This window comes from Homo sapiens, chromosome 1 (assembly GCF_000001405.40).
Source record: "Homo sapiens chromosome 1, GRCh38.p14 Primary Assembly".
NCBI lineage: Eukaryota > Metazoa > Chordata > Mammalia > Primates > Hominidae > Homo > Homo sapiens.
In genome coordinates this window covers 237,506,658-237,531,937 of record NC_000001.11, presented here as the reverse complement: position 1 = coordinate 237,531,937, position 25,280 = coordinate 237,506,658, and the positions used below count along the sequence as shown (strand labels likewise).

The 25,280-nt window shown below is 39.1% G+C and overlaps 1 protein-coding gene across 18 annotated transcripts in view; it reads right to left on the bottom strand.

The window, feature by feature from the left end:
* The window catches only part of RYR2 (ryanodine receptor 2), a 791,805-nt gene that overhangs the window by 302,051 nt on the left and 464,474 nt on the right, over positions 1–25,280 (bottom strand). For all 18 annotated transcript variants that reach the window (XR_007062490.1, XR_002957299.2, XM_006711802.4 and 15 more), the window contains 3 exons: positions 25,124–25,228; positions 20,147–20,250; positions 1,428–1,511 (listed from right to left, as the gene is read on the bottom strand). Coding sequence is in view for 16 of the 18 variants with exons in the window: in XM_006711802.4 (XP_006711865.1) it covers positions 1,428–1,511; positions 20,147–20,250; positions 25,124–25,228 (293 nt within the window). In the remaining 2 variants the exon portion in view is untranslated. The remainder of the gene's footprint in view (positions 1–1,427; positions 1,512–20,146; positions 20,251–25,123; positions 25,229–25,280) is intronic.

Here is a 25,280-nt window from a genome sequence, read left to right as displayed (position 1 = left end):
GGAAAATGAAATAATGTAAAATTCTCCATTATCAACATTTTTATATCATTTTTACACAGATGATGGCAGATATCTGAACACTGTGGTCTGTGCTCATAAGATACACTCAAAGTTGATGAAAAAGTGTCATTTTGAAATGTAAATATGCAAAATGTACCCATAAAACACATCTTTTGGAACTATTTAAATTTTCAAGAAAAATTTTAGAACCTAAAACTGCACGAGGTAACAATACAGTTTTTATAAACTCACTTATGGAGCACCTGAGTAAAAATGTTCATAGACTGTTGAACTAGAGACTTGCTTAAATCTGCATTTGCACAGCAAAAGCACAATTTCTACTTGGATTTTATGTTTTTCTGGGGTAACATGAGGCCTGAGGTGACTGATAGAGATTATGGGGTGGCTACTTTGATTATATCTCGATGCTATTATTTAATACATCTACAGGCCTGCTACTTACAAGTCCTGCACATCAGAAAAGCAGCTTGAATACTTAAGTTTAAATAAATAAGAAAGTAATATGAAACAGCTATCATTTATTGAATATTTCTTTAATACCTAAAACTTCCCTGTTAAGTAGGTATTACTAATGCCCACAGGCAGATGAGAAAGGTGAGGTCTTAAGTGAACCAGGATCACAAACATAGGTCATAGAACAGCAGGCCAAACCAGTACTACAGCATCTATCTACCTCAATTTTCTCATCTTAAAATGTGGATAATAATGCTGACTTCATAATTAATCCTCGAATATATTTTTATTGTAAAAGTAAATAAAATTATAAAGATTTTTGGGCAGAAAGTAGAAAGCTATATGTAATCATTTAGAAATATGGATACCTCTGTTAACATATAAACACACACTGGGAAAATAACACAATTTTTATAACACACTCCCAAATATATTCTGAGCTTTGTTTCATCACTCAGCAATGTGATAGAAACTATTGTTTCACCAGATACTTAATGTAACCCCTAGGGTCATTCAGTTAGTTTAAATTTTTGAATCTGAATTTTTTTTTTTTTGAGATGGAGTCTCACTCTGTTGCCCAGGCTGGAGTGCAGTGGCACGATCTTGACTCACTGCAGCCTCTGCCTCCCAAGTTCAAGCGATTCTCCTGTCTCAGCCTCCCGAGTAGCTGGGATTACAGGCACTTGCCACCACGCCCAGCTAATTTTTGTATTTTTAATGGAGACAGGGTTTCACCATGTTGGCCAGGCTGGTCTTGAACTCCTGACCTCAGGTGATCCACCTGCCTTGGCCTCCCAAAGTGCTGGGATTAAGGTGTGAGCCACCGCACCCAGCCTTGAATCTGAATTTTAAAGCTTCAGTAAAAGCAAGGCATCTGTGTGTCCATCAAGAGTTATTTGGTTGCACTAAATCTCTACACAGATTATTTAATATTGCTTAGTCATTCAACTTACTTCTTGGGTAGCTTCATTTTTTTCACCTTGTCTTCAGCATGTTCATCTGATATACCCACATGACATCCTAATGCCAACAAAGTCCTGGAAAACAAAACCAGAGATAAGTGTGATCATTTCTTCTCTATGTCCAGAATAACCCAAGACAGCAGCAGTAGCAATGAGATACAACCTTGAAAGCACAATTTTTTTTTTTTTTTGAGACGGAGTCTCGCTCTGTCGCCCAGGCTGGAGTGCAGTGGCGCGATCTCGGCTCACTGCAAGCTCCGCCTCCCGGATTCACGCCATTCTCCTGCCTCAACCTCCCAAGTAGCCAGGACTACAGGTGCCCGCCACCACACCCGGCTAATTTTTTGTATTTTTAGTAGAGACGGGGTTTCACCGTGTTAGCCAGGATGGTCTCGATCTCCTGACCTCGTGATCCACCCATCTCGGCCTCCCAAAGTGCTGGGATTACAGGTGTGAGCCACCGCGCCCAGTCAGAAGTCTTGTTTTTAAGGTGAAAGGAACATTTACTGATTTGCTAATTATTCATTTCTGAGTAAGGGATAAGACACTGCGAACTGAAATGGCACAAAAAGGAATACACTGAAAAGTAAGTCTCCCTCCAACTTCTTCTAATTCTGTTTCCTTCCTCTAAAGGCATCAATTGTTAACAATTCTTCGATATCCTGCTGGGGAGTCTATGTACCTACTAAAGCAGATATACGTGGTGTGTGTGTGTGTGTGTGTGTGTGTGTGTGTGTGTGTATGATATTATTGTTTTACCTTTTATAGAAATGCGTATATACAGGAGACATTTTGAGACAATTTGTCTTTAGTACCCACGGCACTGAGTGGTTTCTCCTGCCTTGATAGAGTAAGAAATAACGGCATAATATTTTGGGATTACAGAATTTCTAAGGTCTGATCAGTTCTAGTAAGAATGTGGGAATTATCTAAAACCCATAATACTTATCTCTATAATATTTTAATAATGTGTGGATAGGTTGATGGTTATATGTATATACATATACGTACATTATATATATGTATTTCCATATAGACAAGTATCTATATGTATAAGCTTAACCATTTAGACAGATACATATAAGCTTATACATATGGGTATCTATCCATCTATACACACACAATTATCAGTTAAATTTTGTTATATATGAAAAAATTAAAATAACCCCATGAAATTATCTTTCTAGCGTTAAATTGCAAAACTATGGGAAGACCAAGAGCTGATTGAAGGTACAAAATAAGCTGAATAAAGAATGTGCACGTTGAAAGGGATTGATCAGCAATAAAATAAAAAACGAACTCACAGGAACAAATATAGATTACACTTATTCAGACACTATCCAGAGGACAGGAAGATTTTACCAGCACCCTCCATTCCTTTATTTATTCATTCAGTAAATATCTACTGAGTGCTATCATGTGCAAGGCCCTGTGCTACAGACAACAGGCAATTATGATAGTATCTTCAGGGCAATGAGGTAATCACAAGGCTGTAAAAGTATCAAAGAGGGATGTCCAACCCAGCTCTGAGAGAACTCAAGATTGATCATAATATTAGGATTTACCATAAACTCAGGCAATTAAACCTTTGAGCACATGCCCACCAAGAAATCTTCTGATGATAATGTGTCTTCCCAAGCTGATCTGTAAAAATGAATATTTTGGATTATAAGACAGTTATTATCACTGCAAATCAGTACCTCAGTGTGACATGCCAGGAATGTAGTTAATGTGAGTCCAGACCGAGAGACAAAGTCACATGGTGTACTGACATCAAAAGTAAGCCTGAGCCATAGAAAATGTAATTAGTTAATTCATCCTTAAGGGCTTCTGAGAGAGAGCCAGTGTTTTATGCCATCAATACTATAATCTTCTCATAACTAATTAATTCAGCCTCATAATCTTCTTCCCAATGCAAACTACCTAGAAAAGTATGAATTCAACTCACACGGACAGTGAACATAATAGACCACATGTGCATAAATATATAAGTCCATAAATATTTATTGAGTTACCACCATATCTAAGGTACTCTGTAGTACAGTAGTCCTCCCTTATCCATGGCTGATATGTTCCAGGACTCCCAGTGGATGCCTGAACCCCACAGATAGTACCAAACCCTATACTTTTTCCTATCCATACATACTATGATACATACTAAAATTTAACATATGAATTAGACACAGTAAGGGATTAAAACTAGTAACTAATAGAAAATAGAACTATTATAACAACATACTGCTCACAATTTCACAGACAGAAGAATTGTTGTTTTTATAGATCTTAGCAACTTCAGTATACAGTATTTTTCTTCCCTTATTAAGTTGAGAATATTCACCTTTTCACTTAAAAGAAGCACTTTATGGCTTCTCTTTGACATATTCAAATTGCCAGCATCTTTAATTTTGTGCATTGGGGCCATTATTAAATAAAATAAGGGTTACTTGAACAAAAGCACTACAGTGTCATGACAATCAAGCTGATAACCAAGATGGTTGCTAAGTGACTAACAGGTAGGCAGCCTATACAGCATGGGCCAGGGGGACAAAGCGATGATTCGCATCCTGGGCAGGACAAAGTAGCAGGGCGTGAGATTTCATCACACTGCTCAAAATGGCATGCAATCTAAAACTTATACATTGTTTATTTCTAAAGTTTTCCATTTGATATTTTCAGGAGTACTACTGCACATGTTTCTCTTGACAGCGTTTACAGTCTGATAGGAGAAAAGATGATGACTGAAGAATTATAATAAAACCAAGTAGGGTTCCACATTTTAAAAAGTTACATGTTTTAGAAGCATCTTTAAGATATTCCAAGAAGGATAATTAAACATTTCAAAGATGAAGACATGTGGGAATAAAGGATAAAGAGATGAAGAGGCAAATATTTCAGGTAGGTGAATAAGACAGACAACCTACAGAAGCAGGAGATCGTGGGTCTGTGTGGGAGGGGCAGAGAAGGGTTGACTGGAGTATTAAGATCTGACCGTGTACTATAGGTTAAGGGTAAAAAGAAATACTGGGGTAAGTTTGGGGTGCACTATATGCTTCATAAATATTTCTCATTATGTGTGATGGCTAATTTTATGTATCAACTTGGCTGGGGCATAGTGCCAACACATTTAGTCAAACATTATTCCAGATGTTTCTGTGAAGCTGTTTTTGGGTGAGATTAACATTTAAATTGCTACACTTTGAGTTCACATGGAATCAAAAAAGAGTCCGAATAGCCAAGGCAATCCTAAGCAAAATGAACAAATCCAGAGGCATCACATTGCCTGACTTATATATAAGGATATAGTAACTATAACAGCATGGTAATGGTACAAAATTAGACACATAGATCAATGGAATGGAATACAGAACCCAAAAATAAAGCCACATACCTACAACCAACTGATCTTTGACAAAGTTAACAAAAATAAACACTGGAGAAATGACAACCTCTTCAATAAATGGTGCTGGAAAAAATGGCTAGCCATATGCGGAAGAATGAAATTGCACCTCTATCTCTCACCATGTACAAAAATTAACTCAAGATGGATTAAAGATATAAATGTAAGACCTAGAAGAAAACCTAGAAAAAACTCTTCTGGACATTGGCCTAGGTAGAGTTTATGATAAAGATCCCAGAAGCAAATGCATCAAAAACAAAAATAGACAAATGGGACTTAATCAAACTAAAAAGCATCTGCACAGCAAAATAATCTACAGAGTAAATAGACAACCTACAGAATGGGAGAAAGTATCTTCAAATTATGCCCCCAATGAAGGACTAATATCCAGAATCCACACAGAACTTAAACAACTCAACAGGAAAAAAACAAACAACTGTATTAAAAACCGGCCAAAGGGTCAGGCATGGTGGTTCATGCCTATAATTCCAGTACTTTGGGAGGCCGAGGCAGGAGGACTGCTTGAGCCCAGGAGTTCAAGACCAGTCTGGGTAACATAGGGAGACTCTGTCTCTACACATAATTCAAAGTTTAATCAGGCATGGTGGCACACATCTGTGGCCCCAGCTACTCTAAAGGCTGAGGCAGAAATTTTGCCTGAGTCTCGGAAATCAAGGCTGCAGTGACCTATGATCCACCACTGCACTCCAGCCTGGGCTACAGAGTGAGACTCTGGTCCTGAAAAAAAAAAGAAAAGAAAAGAAAGAAAAAAGGACATAAATAGACATTTCTCAAAAGAGGAAATACAAGCAGCCAAATAAACACATTAAAAAATGATCTGAATTACCAATCATCAGAAAAATGTAAACTAAAACCACAATGAGATACCATCTCACACCAGTCAGAATGGTTATTATTAAAAAGTCAAAAAATAAAAGATGTGGGTGAGGATGTAGCTTATACACTGTTAGTAGGAACATAAATTAGTTCAACCCCTTTGGGAAACAGCATGAATATTTCTCCAAAAACTAAAAATAGAACTACCATTCAGCCCTGCAATCCCACAACTGGATACCTACCCAAAGGAAAAGAAATCATTATATTTATTATTATTATTTTTTTTTTTTGAGGAGTTTTGCTCTTGTCACCCAGGCTGGAGTGCAATGGTGCAATCTCGGCTCACTGCAACCTCCGCCTCCCGGGTTCAAGCAATTCTACTGCCCCAGTCTCCAAAGTAGCTGAGGTTACAGGTGCTCACCACCATACCCAGCTAATTTTTGTATTTTTAGTAGAGATGGGTTTGCACCATGTTGGCCAGGCTGGTCTCAAACATCTGACCTCAGGTGATTCACCGGCCTTGGCCTCCCACAGTGCTGGGATTACAGGAGTGAGCCACCGCATCTGTCCAAGAAATCATTATCAGGTCACGCGTTTGAGACCAGCCTGAACAACATGGTGAAACCCCGTCTCTACTAAAACTACAAAAATTAGCCAGGCGTGGTGGTGGACACCTGTAATCCCAGCTACTTGGGAGGCTGTGGCAGGAGAATTGCTTGAACCTGGGAAGCAGAAGTTTCAGTCAGCCGAGATCATGCCACTGCACTCCAACCTAGGCAACAGAGCAAGACTCTGTCAAAAAAACAAAAAACAAACAAACAAAAAAAACACCTGCACTCACATGTTCATTGCGGCACTATTTACAATAGCAAAGTCACGGAATCAACTTAAGTGTCTGTCAACTGTTGACTGCAAAAAGAAAATATGGTACATATACACCATGGAAAACTATACAGCCACGAAAAAGAATGAAATCATGTCCTTCTTGCAGCAACATGGATAAAGTTGGAGGCCATTATCCTCATCATTTAAAAGAAAATTAAATACTTCATACTCTCACTTGTAAGTGGGGGCCAAGCAAAGTGGATACACACAGATATAAAGACAGAAATAATAGATAGTAGGGACTTCAAAGCAAGGAGAGCAGGAGGGGAGCTAGTGTTGAAAAATTACCTGTCAAGTACAATGTTGACTATTTAGGTAATGGGTTCATTAGAATCTAAATTCCCACCATTATACCTATGTAACAACGCACATAGGTAAATTCCTATGTATCTCTGTACATAGCAATATACCTATGTTACAAACACGCACATGTACCCTCTGATTCTAAAATTAAATACTAAACTTTTTAAAAAAGTATAGTGCACTTTAAGTAAATCAGACTACCTTCCATAATGTGACTGGGCCTCAACTAATCAGTGAAAGGTCTCAACAGAAAAAAGAGACTGACCTTCTGAGCAAAAGGGAATTTTGCCAGCACCCTGCCAATTCTTTAAGGAATCTCTCTCTATATATATCTGTATATACATATATGTCTATATATATATGTATATATACACACACACACATACATACACCCTGTTGGTTCTGTTTATCTCAAGAACCCTGATTAAGACATTAAGTGAGGGCCTCATATGCTATGCTGAGGGAATTACACTTATGTGAATGGACTAGGAGCTGCTAAAGGTTATTCTGCAGAATAGCAAAGTTAGAAGTCATCAGGTAGAAAATGTACTTTTTAGAGGCTGATTATTTTCATTTTTATTAAATTTATAGAGTTGCATGACTATCAGCACAATCTAGCTTTGCACCATTTCCACGAGCCCATGAGGTCCCCCATGCCTGCTGCAGGCGTTTCTCACTCTCACCTCCAGACAGCCCCTAAGCTACTTTATGTCTCTATCAATATGCCTGTTTTGGGCATTTCATAGGAATAGAATTACACAATATGGAGTCTTCTGTGTTTGGCTCCTTCCACCTGGCATAAAGTTTTTCAGGTTGATCCATGTTGGAGTCTGTGGCAGTAGTTTGTTTCCTTTTATTGCTGAATAATATGCCATTGTAATACTGGATCACATTTTATCTATTCCTTAGTTGATGAACATTTGCACAGTTTCCAGTTTTTGGCTCTTATGAATAATGCTTCTGTGAACATTTACGTGTAAATCTTTGCAGGGACATAAGCTTTTATTTCTCTTGAGTAGATACATAGGAGTAGAATTGCTAGGCTATGGTAAGTTTATGTTTAACTTTTTAAGAAACTTCCAAACTATTTTCCAAAGTGGTGGCACCATTTTACATTGCCTGCAGTAATACATGTGGGTTTCAGTTTTCCTATAGCTTCACCAACACTTGGTATGTCTGTCAAAAATTATAGCCATTTTATTGTGTGTAAGGTAGTATCTTCTTATGGTTTTAATTTGTATTTTTCTGACTGATGATGTGTAACATCCTTGATTGCACTTTATTAGCCATCTGTGTATCTTCTTTGGTAAAGTATTTTGCCAATTTTTGCCTTTTTTTTTTTTGAGACAGAATCTTGCTCTGCCACCCAGGCAGGAGGACAGTGGCATAATCTCGGCTCACGGCAACCACTTCCTCCCAGGTTCAAGCAATTCTCCTGCCTCAGTCTCCCTAGTAGCTGGGATTACAGGCGCCTGCCACCACGTGCAGCTACTTTTTTTGTATTTTTAGTAGAGATGGAGTTTCACCATGTTGGCCAGGCTGGTTTCTAACTTCAGACCTCAAGTGAGCCACCCAACTCAGCCTCCCAAAGTGCTGGAATTATAGGCGTGAGCCACCATGCCCAGCTGTTTTGCCAATTTTTAAATCAGGTTTTGTGTATTCTTATTATTGAGTTATAAGATTTCTATATATATTCTGGATACAAGTCCTTTGTTAGGATTGGTATGATTTACTACAAATCCTATTAATACAATTGTGCTTGATTCACAAATATTCTCTCCCAGCTGGTGGCCTGTCTCTTCATTTTCTTAATGGCTTCTTTTGAAGTACAGAAAGTTTTACTTTTAATTAACTCCAATGGATGGACTGTTTTCTTTAATAGGTCATGTTTTGGATATTGTATCTAAGTACTCTTTGCCCAATCCTAGGAGGTTTTAAAATGGGAGCAATGGATTATATTTAAAATATATTTATTAACACTACAACCATATCAAGTTCTTTGTTTGAATGAAGTGTTTGGTTTCTGTATCATCTTTATTGAACCACTTTATTTGATGATTTAACATTGTTTAACTCATTTTTTTTTTAAGTCTGCTGAAGGGTGGTGAGAGAAACAGCACACTATAAGTTGGAACTGCAAAGCTGATAGAAAGGCTAGAAAAGCACAAAATAAGGGAAGCAAGAAAGGATTAGTTGGGAGCAGGTTCTTGGCCTTACATGCATTCAGTAAATATTTACTACTAGATTAAGCAGTAGGGATTGGTAATGTAGCATTTTAGTACTTAAACTATATAGCTGCAGAAAAGTAAACAGACTGTTAGGAAGCAAATGTGAGGCACCCTGTAGGTAGGCATTTGGTATGTAAAAACCCAGTTACTGACTGAGATTTATCATTTATTTATTAATTCATTCATTTGATGAATATTTACTGAGCTCTAAGTAAAATTTGAAAAATGGTAACAAAAATCAAGTGAGATGCCTGCTGTCATGAAACATATGGTCGGTGGAGTACAGAGGCAACCATGTAATTCCCACACACAGGGAAAGCTTCTATACTGGGAGTACAGAAAGGATGAGTACCTATAGAAGTAAAATTGTTGAGTCAAGGAACTCAGACAACATGTTCGAAAGAAGTGAACCTGACCTTAGATCTGGCAAGCTTGTCCAACACGCAGCCTGCGGGCTACATGCGGCCTAGGACAGCTCTTTGAATGTGGCCCAACACAAATTCATAAACTTTCTTAAAATATTATGAGATTTCTTTGTGTGATTTTTAAAATTTAGCTCATCAGCTATTGTTAGTATTATAGTGTATTTTATGTGTGGCCCAAGACAATTCTTTTTCTGCTATGGCCCAGGGAAGCCAGAAGATTGGACAGCCCTGATCCAAAGGATGAGAGCCAGGCATAGAAAACAGCATTCCACATCACACCCTGGGGCCTGTTGTGGGGTAGGGGGAGCGGGGAGGGATAGCATTAGGAGATATAGCTAATGTTAAATGACGAGTTAATGGGTGCAGCACACCAACATGGCACATGTATACATATTTAACCTGCACGTTGTACACATGTACCCTAAAACTTAAAGTATAATAAAAAAAGAAAAGAGCATTCCAAGAAGAGGACGTGTGGAAGATCTTGTGGTGGAATGGAATGTGTGGACAGGCAAGCAACACAAAGGTCAGTGTGACTGCAAGCAAGAGTACAAGGGCAGCCTCACTTATAATGAGGCTGGTGAGAGGGGAGGCCCCAGATTTTGGGATACTTTGGCAAATTAAAGCACCATATTTAACTTAAAAGCAATGAAAAGCCATTAATGGATTTTATTTTTTTTTATGTATTTAATTTTTTTTTTCTTTTTGAGATGGAGTCTCGCTCTGTCACCCAGGCTGGAGTGCAGCAGCATGATCTCGGCTCGCTGCAACCTCTGCCTCCTGGGTTCAAGCAATTCTCCTGCCTCAGCCTCCCGAGCAGCTGGGATTACAGGCACCTGCCATGACGCTTGGCTAATTTTTATAATTTTAGTAGAGACAGGGTTTCACCATGTTGGCCAGGCTGCTCTTGAACTCCTGACCTCAGATGATCCACCTGCCTTGGCCTCCCAAAGTGCTGAGATTACAGGCTCACCTGACCTCAGGTGACCCACCGTGCCTGGCCCCATTAAGGGATTTTAAATAGAAAGATTGACATGGTCACCTTAATGTTTGAAATGAACACACTGGCTACAAAGTACAGAATAGCTAGAGGTGCTATTGCATTTTGTTTGCTGGTATTTTTGTTGAGGACTGTTGTGTCTATGTTAATCAGGGATATTGGTCTGTAGTTTTCTTTTTTGTTGTGCCTTTGTCTGGTTTTGGTACCAGGGTGATACTGGCTTCATAGAGCGGTTAGGGAGAATTTCCTGCTCCTTGACTTTTTGAAACAGTTTCAGGAGGATTGATATTAGTTCTATGTATGTTAGGTATAATTCATCTGTAAATCCATCTGATCCTGGGCTTTTCATTGTTGGGACAATTTTTATTACTGATTCAATCCTTTTTTTTGGAGACAGAGTCTCACTCTGTCACCTAGGCTAGAGTGCAGTGGCACAATCCCGGCTTATGGCAAACTCTGTCTCCCAGGTTAAAGCAATTCTCCTGCCTCAGCCTCCTTGAGTAGCTGGGATTACTGGTGTGCACCATCACACCCAGCTAATTTTTGTATTTTTAATAAAGTTGGGGTTTCACCATGTTGGCCAGGCTGGTCTGGAACTCCTGACCTCAAGTGATCCACCCACCTTGGCCTCCCAAAGTGCTGGGATTACAGGCATGAGCCACCGCACCTGGCCACTGATTCAGTCTTGCTACTTGTTATTGCTCTGTTCAGGTTTTCAATTTCTTCCTGGTTCAGTCTTGGGAGGGAGGCTGCATGTTTTCAGGAGTTAAGTGGGTTTTTATCAGGGACACAAGGATGGTTCAACATCTGCAAATCAATAAATGTGATACGTCGCAAAAACTGAACCAACAACAAATACCATATGAGCATCTCAATAGGTGCAGAAAAAGCATTTGATAAAATTCAGCATCGCTTCATAATAAGAACTCTCCATAAACAAGGGATAGAAGGAGCATACCTCAAAATAATAAAGGCCATATACAACAATCTCACAGCTAACATTATGCTGAATGGGGAAAGTTGAAAACTTTCCCTGTAAGAACTGGAACAAAACAAGGATATTTACTTTTACCACTCCTATTCATTACAGTACTGAAAGGCCTAGTGAGAGAAATTAGGCAATGGAAAGAAATAAATGGCATCTAAACTGGAAAAAATGAAGTCTAATTATCCTTGTTTGCTGACAATTTGATCTTATGTCAAGGAAAACCTAAAGATGCCACAAAAAACTCTTATTTGATAAATGGAATTCAGTAAAGTTGCAGCATGTAAAATCAATGTACAAAAATTGGTAGCATATCTATAGACCAGTAACAATCTAACTAAGAAACAAATCAAGGAGGCAATCCTATTTACAATATCCACATAAAAATTAAAATACCTCATTGAAATACCTAAAATACCTAATTAAAATATATTTAACCAAGGAGGTGTACAAGATCTGTACAAGAGAAACTATAAAACAATGATGAAAGAAATTATAGATGATGCAAACAAACACAAAAACAGCCCATGATCAAAAATCTGAAGAATCAGTATTGTTAAAATGACAATATTGCCCAAAGCAATCCATAAATTCAATGCAACTCATATCAAAATGCCAATGTCATTTTTCACAGAATTAGGGAAAAACAATCCTAAAATTCAAATGGAACAAGAAAGAGTCCAAATAGCCAAAGCAATCCTGAGGGGTAAATAAAAGGAGGCATCATATTACCTGACTTCAAATTCTATTATAAGGCTATAGTAACCAACACAGCATGGTACTGGTAGAAAAACAGATGAATAGATCAATGGAACAGAATAGAGAACCCAGAAATAAAGCTACATACTTACAGCCATATTTGTTGGCTTTCACAAAGCCAACAAGAGCATACATTGGAGAAAGGATACACTCTTCAATACATGTTGCTGGGAAAACTGGATGGCCATATGCAGAAGAGTAAAACTGGTCCCCTATCTCTCACCATGTACAAAAATCAACTCAAGATGGGTTAAGACTTAAACAAAAGACTCAAAATTATAAAAATACTAGAAGAAAATCTAGGGAAAACTCTTCTGAACATTTGTCTAGGCAAAGAATTTATGACTAAGACGTCAAAAACCCAGGCAACAAAAACAAAAATAGACAAACAAGACCTATTTAAACTAATAAGCTTCTGCACAGTGAGAGAAAGAATCAACAGAGTGAAGAGACTACCTGCAGAATGCAAGAAAATATTTGCAAAGAATTCATCTGACATCAAACTACTCATTCATCCAGAATATGCAAGAAACAAACAATTCAACAACAAGAAAAGCATCAAATAGTCTCCTTAAAAACTGGGCAAAGGAAATGAATAGACATTTTTCAAAATAAGACATACAAATGGCTAACAGGTATATGAGAAAATGCTGAACATCACTAATCATCAGAGAAATGCAAACTAAAACCCAGGTGGGATGTCATCCTACACCAGTCAGAATGGCTATTCTTAAAAATGCAAACAAACAAACAAAAAAACAGATGTTGGCGAGGATGCAGAGAAAAGGGAACTCTTATGCACTGTTGGTGGGAATGTAAATTAGTACAGCCTCTATGAAAAAATAGTATAGAAACTTGTCAAGGAACTAAAAATAAAACTACCATTCGATCCAGTAATCCTACTATTGGATATCTACCCGAAGGAAAAGAAATCCATATATCAAAAAGACATCTGCACTTGCATGTTTATTGCGGCACTATTCACATCAGCAAAGAAATGGAAGGAACCTAAGTGTCCATCAATGGATGAATGGATAAAGAAAATGTGGCATATATACATAATGGACTATTATTCAGCAGTAAAGAAGAATGAAATCATGTATTTTGTAGCAACATGATTAGAACTGGGGTCATTATTTTAACTGAAATAAGCTAGACCCAGAAAGGCAAATACCCATGTTCTCATTCACAAGTGGGTGTTAAAAAAATGTGCACACATGGACATAGAGAGTAGAATGACAATTCATGGAGACTTGGAAGAGTGAGGGGATTGGAAGGGAGTAGATGATGAGAAATTACGTAATGGGTGCAATATACATTAACTGGGTGATGGATACCCTCAAAGTCTTGACTTTTGTTACTTTATGCATGTAACAAAATTGCACATGTACCCTGTAAATTTGTACAATTTTTAAAAAGGCAAAAAAAAACAATAGAAAAGAGAGTATCTAGGGTGTATTTCAATTGGATCTGTTGGGAGGATATTATAATTTCAGGTGGGAAACAATGGTAGCTTAGACTAGGTTAGCATAGGGTGGCAATCATGTTGGAGTTGATGATGTGGTGATAGTAACATTAATAATGGAAGAAAATAAAGAAGTCGATAGATTAACATATCAATAGAAAGCCATGGGTGAAGGGAAGGGATGTGTCCAGGATGACTCCCAGATATCTGAGTTGTGTTCTGAGGGGCACTTAACACAACAAGAGAAGGACACTGAAAGGAGCCTGAGATTTGAAGGTATAAAAAAGTCACAAAGTTTGAGGTACATTTGCAATATCTAAGCAAGTTGGCATCTGAGAATGTTATGCGCTGGATACCTTTTGAGGACTAGGTACATGATTGTGAATTTAAAAAAAAAATCATGCTGTGGACTTTGGGTGATAATGATGTGTCAATGTAGGTTTATCAATTGTTATAAATGTACCACTCTGTTGAGGGCAGTTGCCTGTGGAAACAGGGGGCATAAGAAAAGTCTCTGTATCTTTCTTTTAACTTTGCTGAGAACCTAAATCTGCTCTAAAAAATAAAACCTTTTTTTTTTTTAATTATAGTTCCTGGCTTCATGGAGCTTACAGTCTAGAACAAGCTTTTCCAGCCCACAGCCCAGGATGGCTTTGAATGTGGCCCAACACAAATTCATAAACTTTCCTAAAACATTATGAGATCTTTTTGTGATTTGTGTTTTAGTTCATCAGCTATCATTAGTGTTAGTGTATTTTGTGTGTGGCCCAAGATAATTCTTCCAATGTGGCCCAGGGAAGCAAAAAGATTGGACACCCCTGGTCTAGAAGGAAAGGCAAATATTAAATAACCTCAGAAAGTGATATTACAAATTGTGGTGAGTTATAAACACACTATCAGGTGTTATAAAGGAAGTGAAGGAAGTGGTGAGGAAATTCTTATCAGGGAAGTGATATTTAAATGAAGGCCTGAGGGATGAGTAGGGAGGAGATCCTTTAAGGGTGAAATGAAGAATTTTCCAGGCAAAGGGAACAGAATAGTGAGGCAGGAAAAAGTTTAACTCATTATCAGGAAGAGACCATGAGGGCTGGAACATAAGGAACAAGGCAAAGAGTGGTGCAAGGCATGATGACAAACAGGAGGGGTGTCAGATTGTCTGGGCCATGCACACACTTGTGAAGATATCAGACTCCAAGTTCCATGGGAAGCCATTGAACAGTTTTAAGCAAAATATGAATGAATGCACGTGTGTGTATGAACTCAGGCTGCTGTGTGCAGAATAAAGACGGCAAGTGGGAGGACCAGTTAGGAGATGGCTATGGTAGTCTGGGTGACAGATGATGGTGGCTTGGACCAGACTGACTGCTGTGGAAAGGCAGGATGGAGGAAGAGTGACGTATACTTGGGGGGACCTGATAATGGGCTAGAAGTAGGAATGAAACAAAGGGAAGAGTCAAAGGTGATTCCCAGGTTCCTGGCATGTGTAGCAGGATGAATAGCCTGGCATGTTGAAAGACTCAACACCCTAAATGCAAATACAGGGGACATAAAGCTATATAGGTCTAGGTCACTTCTGATGCATCCAGGGGAAAATGTCAATGGAATGATAGGACAAACAATTCCGTCACTCAGAGCAGATGTCTGGGGTAGAGATGGATATTTGGGGAGGTATCAGCACCTGTGTGGTAATTAAGTCACGGAGTGGAGTGGTGAGAATACCTTCAGAGAGCTTGCACACTGAGAAGAAATGGCCCAGGACTGAACATAAAGATTCACAACATTTAGAACTTGGGAAGATTGGCCAGGCACAGTGGCTCACGCCTGCAATCCCAGCATTCTGAGAGGCTGAGGCGGGTGGATCACCTGAGGCCAGGGGTTTGAGACCAGCCTGGCCAAGATGGCGAAACCCCATCTCTACAAAAAAAAATACGAAAGAAAAATTAACCAGAGGTGGTGGCAGGTGCCTGTAATCCCAGCTACTCGGGAGGCTGAGGCAGGAGAATCACTTGAATCTGGGAGGCAGAGGTTGCAGTGAGCTGAGATCGCGTAACTGCACTCCAGCCTAGGCAACAGAGCGAGACTCCTTCAAACAAACAAATAAATAAGTAAGTAAGTTGGGAAGATTGTTGCCAGCAAGAAACCAAAGAGAAAAAAGAAGAGGAGGAGGAGGAGGAAGAGACAGAAAAAGGAGGAGAAAGATAAAGAGAAGAAGAAGAAGAGAAAAAAGAAGAGGGAGGAGAAGAAGGAGAAGAGCGAGAAGGAGAAGAGCAAGGAGAAGAGGAAGAAGGAGAAGAGGGAGAGGGAGAAGAGGGAGAAGGAGAAGAGGGAGGAGGAGAAGAGGAAGGAAAAGAAGAGAGAAGAGAAGAAGAGGGAGGAGGAGAAGAGGGAGGAAGAGAAGAGGGAGGAGGAGGAGAAGGAGGAGAAGAGGAAGTAGGGGAAGGAGAAGAGGAAGGAGGAGGAGAAGAAGAGGAAGAAGGGGAAGGAGAAAGAAGGAGGAAGAGAAGAAGGAGAAGGAGGGGAGGGAAGGAAGGAAGGAAGGAAGGAAAAAAAGGGAGGGGAAGGGGAGGGAAGGGGTGGGTGATGGAGGGAGGGGAGGGAGGGGGAGGAGGAGGAGGAAAAGAGGTATGAGAAACTAACTTGCTCTCTTGGACAAAAATTCCACCTCTCCCCTTATCAGTTATTTGTCTCCCTTCCATACTGCTTTCCTCTCCATCCCTGTGTCCTGGGTCCCTACTATTCCTCCCATCCTTCACCACATACGTGCACAAGCACACTACATCATCTAAAAATAATTTTCAGGAAAAATACTTGGCTAGGAGGAAAAATATCATTGTAGTGTCACTATATTTTTGTTAACTTCCAAAGAAATAAATTCTATGAATGTGTATTACATGTCGATTAAAAATCCTTATATCAATTATTTCTAAAACGTGAGCTGTTTATTCAGAAATTAAGATCTGGAATTCGGAAAATAGTAAAAACTAAACCAGAAACTGAACCTTTGGTAACACTGGTCACATTTGAGGGTCATCTGGCAGGCATGATCTGCCAAGCTGTGCTGTTCTGAGAGTGTCACAATTTCGCAGTACCGTACGATACACAGATGACGATGGAAGTCTAAAGTAAGTTGTCACTGTCAACAATTTACATAAGAAAAAAATCACAGAAACAGCACCCAAAATTCATATTTCATTAAATTGCTCCTCAACCCAAAATAAGGGATATTCTGGAATAATTTCTTGCTTATTTGTTACTTGGAACTTCTAAAGATGTAAACAAATGAAGCTGTTCATCCCTCCCATGATATATTTATTAAACAAACAAAAAACCTAGACTATGCTCCCTCTCAGACATATGGTGTTAAAGCCTTTATCAATATCCTATTAGTTAGTCCCTATAATAATTCCATGAAGCAAATACATTATGATCCTCATTCTACTAAGGAGAAGAAAACCTAGGGTTCAGAGGAGTTGAGTGACTCCAGCAACATTTCCTCGGTGGACCAAGCCCTTAAGTCCAGATGACCCAACTCCAGAGTCTGTGTTCTTAGCTACGCTGCTCTGGGGCCTGCCAATTAAATAAGTGAATAAAGGAAATATAGGAAGAAAGTACTGTACTTTCTCTAAACCCTTGGAATTGGGCATGGTATGAATCTTAGAGAAGTACAGATGTTTTCCCCTAATTCAATTTGTAAATAAATAAATAAAAATCAGTCCATCATAAAACCATATAAACTAGCTATAAGAAAATCAACAAAGAAATGTTAAGCATTTGCTTGTGAAGAGGGTGATTTACATTCATCAGAGAGAATAAAACCACAGTACGTGCAGTCTGAAGATTAACCAAATCAGCCACCAGCAGCTGGTAGGTATGACACTGGATTACATGTAATAGTCAAAGGCACAACATGCTAAATGCAAATACAGAGATTTCTACAGTCCAGAATTTACTCTCTGCTATAGCTGGCTTAGCTGTCAATTGCTAAAATAATAGGGAATGCACTGCAAATTTAAATTATGTTAGACCTTGACCTTTCAATAAAACATTCTGTTGTAAAAGATGAAGAAATAATGAGCTGCTATGAATTACTAAGCTAAATATACAAGCCTCATGTCAAGAGCGCAAAGGAAGATCAGAGATGCTGAATCCACGTACTCAGGACACAGGGCTCGTTATGCATTCTTTATTACAAGCAAACCTTGTCATTTTTAACCTTTAGGTTCTCAATTTACTTGATGTGTATATATTGCTTTTTCTTTTAAGTTCCTAGTAGACCCTAAGCTCAATCTTATGCCTAATGTGTTTATTTACATGATAATCTGCATCCTTGAGGATATAGAGTTATACATCACTTAACAATGGGGATATACTCTGAGAAATGGGTCTTTAGGTGTTTTCATCATTATGTGAACATTATAGAGTATATTCGTACAAACCTAGATCGTAGAGCCTACTACACACCTAAGCTATACGATATAGCCTATTGCTGCTAGGCTACAAACTTGTACATGTTACTTCACCAAATACTGTAGACAACTGTAACACAATGGTAAGTATTTGGGTATCTAAATATAGAAAAGGTAGTGCGTTGCACTAGGATGTTATGACAACTGTGATGTCATAAGTTATAGGAATTTTTCAGCTCCATTATAATCTCATGGCCACCATCATATATGCAGTCCATCATTGAGTCAAACACTGTTAGGCAGCTCATGACTATATACCCGAGTCCAAATTCTAGAATTTGAAATGCGGTTTAAATTTTATGTTCCGGGTCCCTGGTAAAATAATTTCAGTGGAAATAACTCCTTACTACTCTTAACAAAACTGAAACAAACAAAAAGGACTAGAGTTTTGTACGTAATATAAAAACATATTAGGATAAGTGACCTATTGGAACAAATCCAGTTCTGTAGGACATCAAGGATGGAAGGAGGACAAGAGTAAAGTTACTGGCTTTGCAAAAATATTCTCTTTACTTTTCTATATCAAAATTCGAAATTATATTCCTTCCTTTATTCCATTTCAGTCCCATTATTCCGTCTGCAAAGGTAAGGGGCAAAGTCAAGAGGTCAACTGGCAGCAATCACTAAAAAGCAAATTTGCCTTTACTGGGTGATATAAAATACTCTACAGTAGCTTTTCTCAAAATATGTGCTCAGGCTGGATGCAGTGGCAAGCTCCTGTAGTCCTAGATACCCAGACTGGGCCAGAGAATCACCTGAACCCAGGAGTTGCAGGCTGCAGTGCGCCATGATCCAGCCTGTGAATTGCCGTTGCTCGCCAGCCTGGGCAACACAGTAAGACTCTGGCTCCTTTTAAATTTATTTTTATTACTATCATTTTTGAGACAGGGTCCTGCTCTGTCATCCAGGCTGGAGTGCAGTGGCGTGATCACAGCTCACTGGAGCCTCAATCTCCCAGGCTCAATCCATCCTCCCACCTCAGCCTCCAAGTAGCTGGGACTCAGGTGTGCGCCATTATGCCCAGATAAGTTTCATATTTTTTGTTGACATGGGGTCTCACTATGTAGCCCAGGATGGTCTCAAACTCCTGGGCTCAAGCCATCTACTGGCCTTGGCCTTCCGAAGGGCTGGGATTATAAGCACGAGTCACTATGCCCAGCTGACTTTGGCTCCTTAAAAAACTAAAACAAAACCAAAGATATGGTGCTCAGATAAATAGTCCTCATAGGTATGCTCTGAAAACAGGCTGCTATGGTGAAATCAGTTTAGGAAATACCATAAACAGACTTCACCCCAAAGTTCTGAAAAGTCCATCAGCAAAAAATTTTAAATTATTCAACTCTTTGAATTTAGCATCTTTTAAATATATTAAATCAGTGCTTCTCAAATTACCTATGGTGAAGAACTAATTTTCTTTTAATATTTGGTCTATTGTGGTTTTTCCTGATATAATACAATAAAATTGTTAGAGAAAACTGAATTTTCAAAATGAAGACATACAGGCTATGACCTCACATTTCTTAAATCATTAGATTCAATATATGTAAAATTGCTTCCCTAAATTGGTATAGAAGTTTATAAACACTTGCTCTTAATATCTTATTTAGTCACAAACCAGTAACAATTTGTGACTGACACAGTCCCGGTCCACAGCCCACATTCTGTGGACCTGTATCCTATCAGGTCACAAAATCCTCATCATCCATAATACCCATATACACCTGTAGGACACCCTTTGCAAAATACTGATGTAGAACAAGAGGACATAAATTAACAGGGTCAAAGTCTTATTCTCAACAAATACTGATCCAATCCACTTATGCATTATAAAAAGTTCTAGCTGGAATTAAAAATCACTTCACAGCTCAATTAACATATAGCATCAATACCTGTTTTTTTTTTTTTTTTTTTTTTTTTCAGGGAAGGCAGGTTGGAAAATAGAAAAAGTTAAGAAACTCACTTCAGGGTCTCAAGCGACATTTGTAAGTTGTAATTGCGCTCCTGTTCAGGCAGCTTGGAGAACTCCACCAGGCATGGGTGTTGTCTCTTGTTGTCATCTCTAACCTGAAACAGGACAGGAAATTGACATAAAATAGTCTCCAATGCCAGGCACTAGCAATGGAATTCAACTGTGTGGTAGAAAGTGGAGGCAGAAGGCAAGAAGAAACACCCAGATCATTACCCCTGCAAAGCTGCCCCCACAACCTCTCAGGCGCAGTGAGTATCTGAGGTCACTGGTAAAAGCTGGCATTATCTTCGTTCCTTCCCTTCTGTTTGACAGAGCTTCCATGAACCCCCGCCATGCAGACTTCTACCCCAGATTCCCACAGGCTCACTCAGTCAGCTCCTTGCAGCATTTGCTTATATCTTATTTTCTCAGTGAGGTTTACCCTGCCCACTTGTCTAATTAGGACAGTCTGCCTGCCCAGCTTACTCTTTTTTTTTTTTTTTTTTTGGTCCATACACCTTCTAACAGATTGGATTTATTGAGTTATTGGGCTATTGTCTGTCTCCGTGAATTAGAAGATCAAAAATGCAAAGATTTTGGTCTCTTTTGTTCTTTGATGTGTCCCAAACACCTTAAACATGCCTGGTATGTCCTAGGCACTTGACACGTTTTATAAATTGAAATAAATCCTGTGTAAGAAGGGTGTGGCAATGACTTAGTTTTAATTCATAGTGATTTTCCTGTATAGAACCAAACTGATTACAGACATCAATTAACGACAGGACTGACTGACATAAACACTTTGAGGTGGTTCTAGCTGTTTCTTTTACCCCCTGCATGTTACCTCCTGATCTCACAAATCACCCTACTACCTTCGCAAAATCCATTAGCATCATATGCAGGTGGTTTTTATATTAATTCTTGAAACTGCATATTAGCAATCACATTAAACTAAATGCAAGGTTTTAGGAATGAATTAATGAGAAAGATGTTCTCTCTCCTTGCATTAGTAATTAGGTTTGTTATCTTCTCAGAGACCTAAATCGCATCGGCATTAACGCCGTGGCAGCACCTAGATGGCAGCCATATGCTGTCAGGGAACAAATTAGTTCATGAGCATCATTACCAGATCCTAAAAATGCCACATGAGAAGGACAGAAACATGAGTGAGCTTTTTTTTTAAGTCTTCAGCAGTCACCAAGTTAGAAATGATGTATTTATTCCTTTCTTTCTGGTCATCATTATGAATGAACAAGACTTATATAGAATCATATATTAGATATACTTATTTGATTGCAGAACTTTGAAAATGAAATTGAGTTATGTAATTTTATTCTAAACTCTAAATCTCTAACCCTACAAACGAAACATAAAATGAGCATTTGTAAAAATGAATGTGTTGAACCCACAAATAATCTCCCTATTTAGGTCATCTCCACTTTGTCTCTACTCTCTATACCAGAATAACCAACACCATCATCTTCTCAAGTGTCTCAATGAAACCAGAAATCTGCGCAGATTCCCTTCCTTCTCCTGCTACATCCCATACGTGAACACCAAAACATCTCCTGTAATCACGTCTCTCTATCCCCACTGCGGGGCTCTGAGTCGCCTCTCACCTGAGGTACCTGTGCCCTCTCCCTGTCTCTCTTCCTGCCTCCAGGCTCTCTGCTTTTCCACATTCACAGCAGAGCTTCTTTTGAAAGCAGACATAAGTCTGTCACCTTCCTGCTAAGCATTTTTCAATGCTCTTTAGCCCCCTACAGAATAAAATCATCTTCTTTCCAAGCCTTTTGTGACACACTTCCTGCATACATGGCCTGGCTTCTCACCTCTTCTCCACACCACAGCAGAGGTGTCCTCTTGCAACACTGCACTACTGAAAGGTCATGGCTAATGTCCTGTCTCTTCTGCCTCCTCGCTTTTACACATGCCAGGTCCTCTGCCTACTACACGGTCATGCTTTCTGATTGCCAGCTATCTTGTACACATCCCTCAGTCTTGGATCAAATATTTACCTCCTCCTGGAAGCCTTCCCTGATTTCCCTGGGAAGAGCTAAATATTACTTCTTTACTCTGTAATTGTTTGCCTACCAATCATTCAACTAAAGAGGAAGCGCCAAGAAGGCAAACATAATACCTTAAAAGTCAAGGCCTTTTCAAAATTGGGTCCCCAGTACTAAACACACCAGGCAAATAGTAGACATACAATAAATGTTAAAGGGACGAATAAATGATAGACAGATCTGCCTTGTTATTCCACAAAATAGGGCCCTTGCACCATACTCCTGGGAAATATATCCCAAAGTAACGATAACTTCCTCTTCTTCAAAAAATCCAGCATGCTGGGTAGCTAAGTATAAATTGCTCCAAAGAAAAATATACTTGAATACTTCAAAACCTCATTTAAAATGTTAATGAATTTATGAAATTAGCATAGTAACAGGCACATATCTTAATCTAGAATAATTGACATCACAAGGTCAAGGATTCTAACTACTACACAAAAAGGAGTTTCAGGGAAGGTCTTGGAAAAGAAGCAGACTGCAAATCATACATTAGATGAGAGAACACCTCCTGCACCAGGAAAGGTGCGGGTGCTAACACAACAGCAGCAGACCAAGGGCTCAGTGTTTCCCCCAGAGGTACATCAAGCCCAGTGTTGCCTCAACTGGCCTCAGACCCAGCAAAGGATAACTTGAGTCAGTTGCGGGCAAGAAGGCCCCACGGTACTGTATTATCCTTTAATATTTGAAAACCCTGGCCGGGCGCGGTGGCTCACGCCTGTAATCCCAGCACTTTGGGAGGCCGAGGCGGGCGGATCACGAGGTCAGGAGATCGAAACCATCCTGGCTAACACGGTGAAACCCCGTCTCTACTAAAAATACAAAAAATTAGCCGGGCGTGGTAGCGGGCGCCTGTAGTCCCAGCTACTCGGGAGGCTGAGGCAGGAGAATGGCGTGAACCCGGGAGGCGGAGCTTGCAGTGAGCCGAGATCCCGCCACTGCACTCCAGCCTGGGCGACAGAGCAAGACTCCGTCTCAAAAAAAAAAAAAAAAAAAAAAAAAAGAAAACCCGAAGAGTGTCTTGAACATGGCAGGAATGTGATGTATGGTATCAACCAGAACTAAATGTAACTGGAAGAATCAATAATAGTGAGACTTTATATTTTAGTCAGTTCTTAAAGAAGAAACACACCTAAGGTTCCACTGCAAAACATAACCACTTAGGTGAACTTACTAGGAGTTTGCAGTGGAGATCATCTTAGAAGCCCGTTGAAATATTTGCTATTATAATATGGGGTTTTGCTGTTTGTTTTACATTTTGTTTGTTTTTTTTTTTTTAATGGGAACTTTTTAAAAAATCTTCCTGGCCTCTAATCATCTCTTCCTATTTTTGAAACTTCTGGAGAATGTTGCCTGTAATTCCTCTGGCAATTGATTACTTACACATTTGTAGCATCTCTCTTCCTACTGACTAATAGATGGTCCAGTCTTTTATTTAGCATTTATACATGTCCTTCAATTTTAAGAATTGATGAGGCCGGGCATGCCTGTAATCCAGCCTGTAATCCCAGCACTTTGGGAGGCTGAGGTGGGCAGATCACCTGAGGTCAGGAGTTCGAGACCAGCCTGGCCACATGGTGAAACTGGTCTCTACTAAAAATACAAAATTAGCCACGTGTGGTGGTGCATGCCTGTAAAACCAGCTACTTGGGAGGCTGAAGCAGGAGAATCGCTTAAACCGGGTAGGTGGAGGTTGCAGTGAGCCAAGATCACACCACTGCACTCCAGGCTGGGTAACAAGAGCGAAACTCTATAGCAAAAAAATAAAAAAAATTGATGAACGTAGCACAAAACTAGGTACCCAAGTGTTTGTTGGTGTAACAAATGTCTAACTATCATTTAGTTAATAAAAGCATCCCATTTTCTGGTCATGCTTCAGCAAGCCTTACAGTGACTTGCAGTCACTTTCTAAATTCTGTCTTAGAAAACCTTGATTCCAGTCTTGGAGCTGCTACTCACTAGCTATGTGATGCCTGCCAAGGCATTTAGCAACTGCAAGAACTCTCCGCTAGGTCATCACCAGTACAACTGAAATAACAACACAACCCAGTTCACTGTAATGACAATTTGACCTAATAATCTGTATGCAAGAATGCAAAACACTGAATAAATATATAAATATTACTGAGTAGTGTGGAGTATCACATGATACTACTACTAACGTTATATTAAGTATTCTTTATTCAGAGCTCAATGCAATAAACTATGAAGGGTAAATACATTAATTTCCATATTCAGTCAGGTATAAGAAAGTGTTATGGCCTTTGGGACACTTAGAATATATCATACAAATGAAAGTATTACCATGGTTTTGACACAAACAAGTATATGATATACACTAGGATTACACAGGTAGTTGTTTGTTTTAAATCTAAATTGTATTAAGTTGTAAACTAAGCTCTTTAGCAAAGTATCATTTAGAAGCATGTGCAATCATGGTTTCTCAGTCTTCATTCTACCTGTGAAACCAACTAGGAACACTTGCCCACAGGTTTCCGCTTTTACACACAATTGGAACTGAAAGAAAAGAAACATGAGCGAGAGAAAAGTAAATTGCCTTCTTTTCATTTTCAGTTTTCACTTTCAATTTCACTGAGATCTTTTAAGTGGCTTAAAAATCAATGCCTATTATCTGTATATGTTAACCTTGATTTGAAAATATAACTTTCAGCCCAGACACTGATAACTTTCCATTGTCTAGGCAGCTAGACCATCCTTCAGTGAACCTGCCAATAATGCCTGTCAGCCCCATTAACTACAATAACGTAGTAAGGCAAAACTGCACAAAAACTAATGTGTAGGGGGAAAAAAATCAATCCAACTAACTGATTGATGTCACCCCATAGCGGGAAAAGGCAGAAAAAGTTATGTTTTCAGAAAGATGTATTCACAGAATCTGAAAATAAATTTCAAAATTACATACCGGACCATACTGCCAGCCAAGCTCAATTTTATTCATAACCCAGAGTTCATGGATATTCTCTGCCAGTTTTTCTCTTATTCTTTCTAGATGAGGAGGCAACACGATCTAAAATTTACAAAAAGAAAAAAGACACATCAGAAACAAATGCAATAAGATG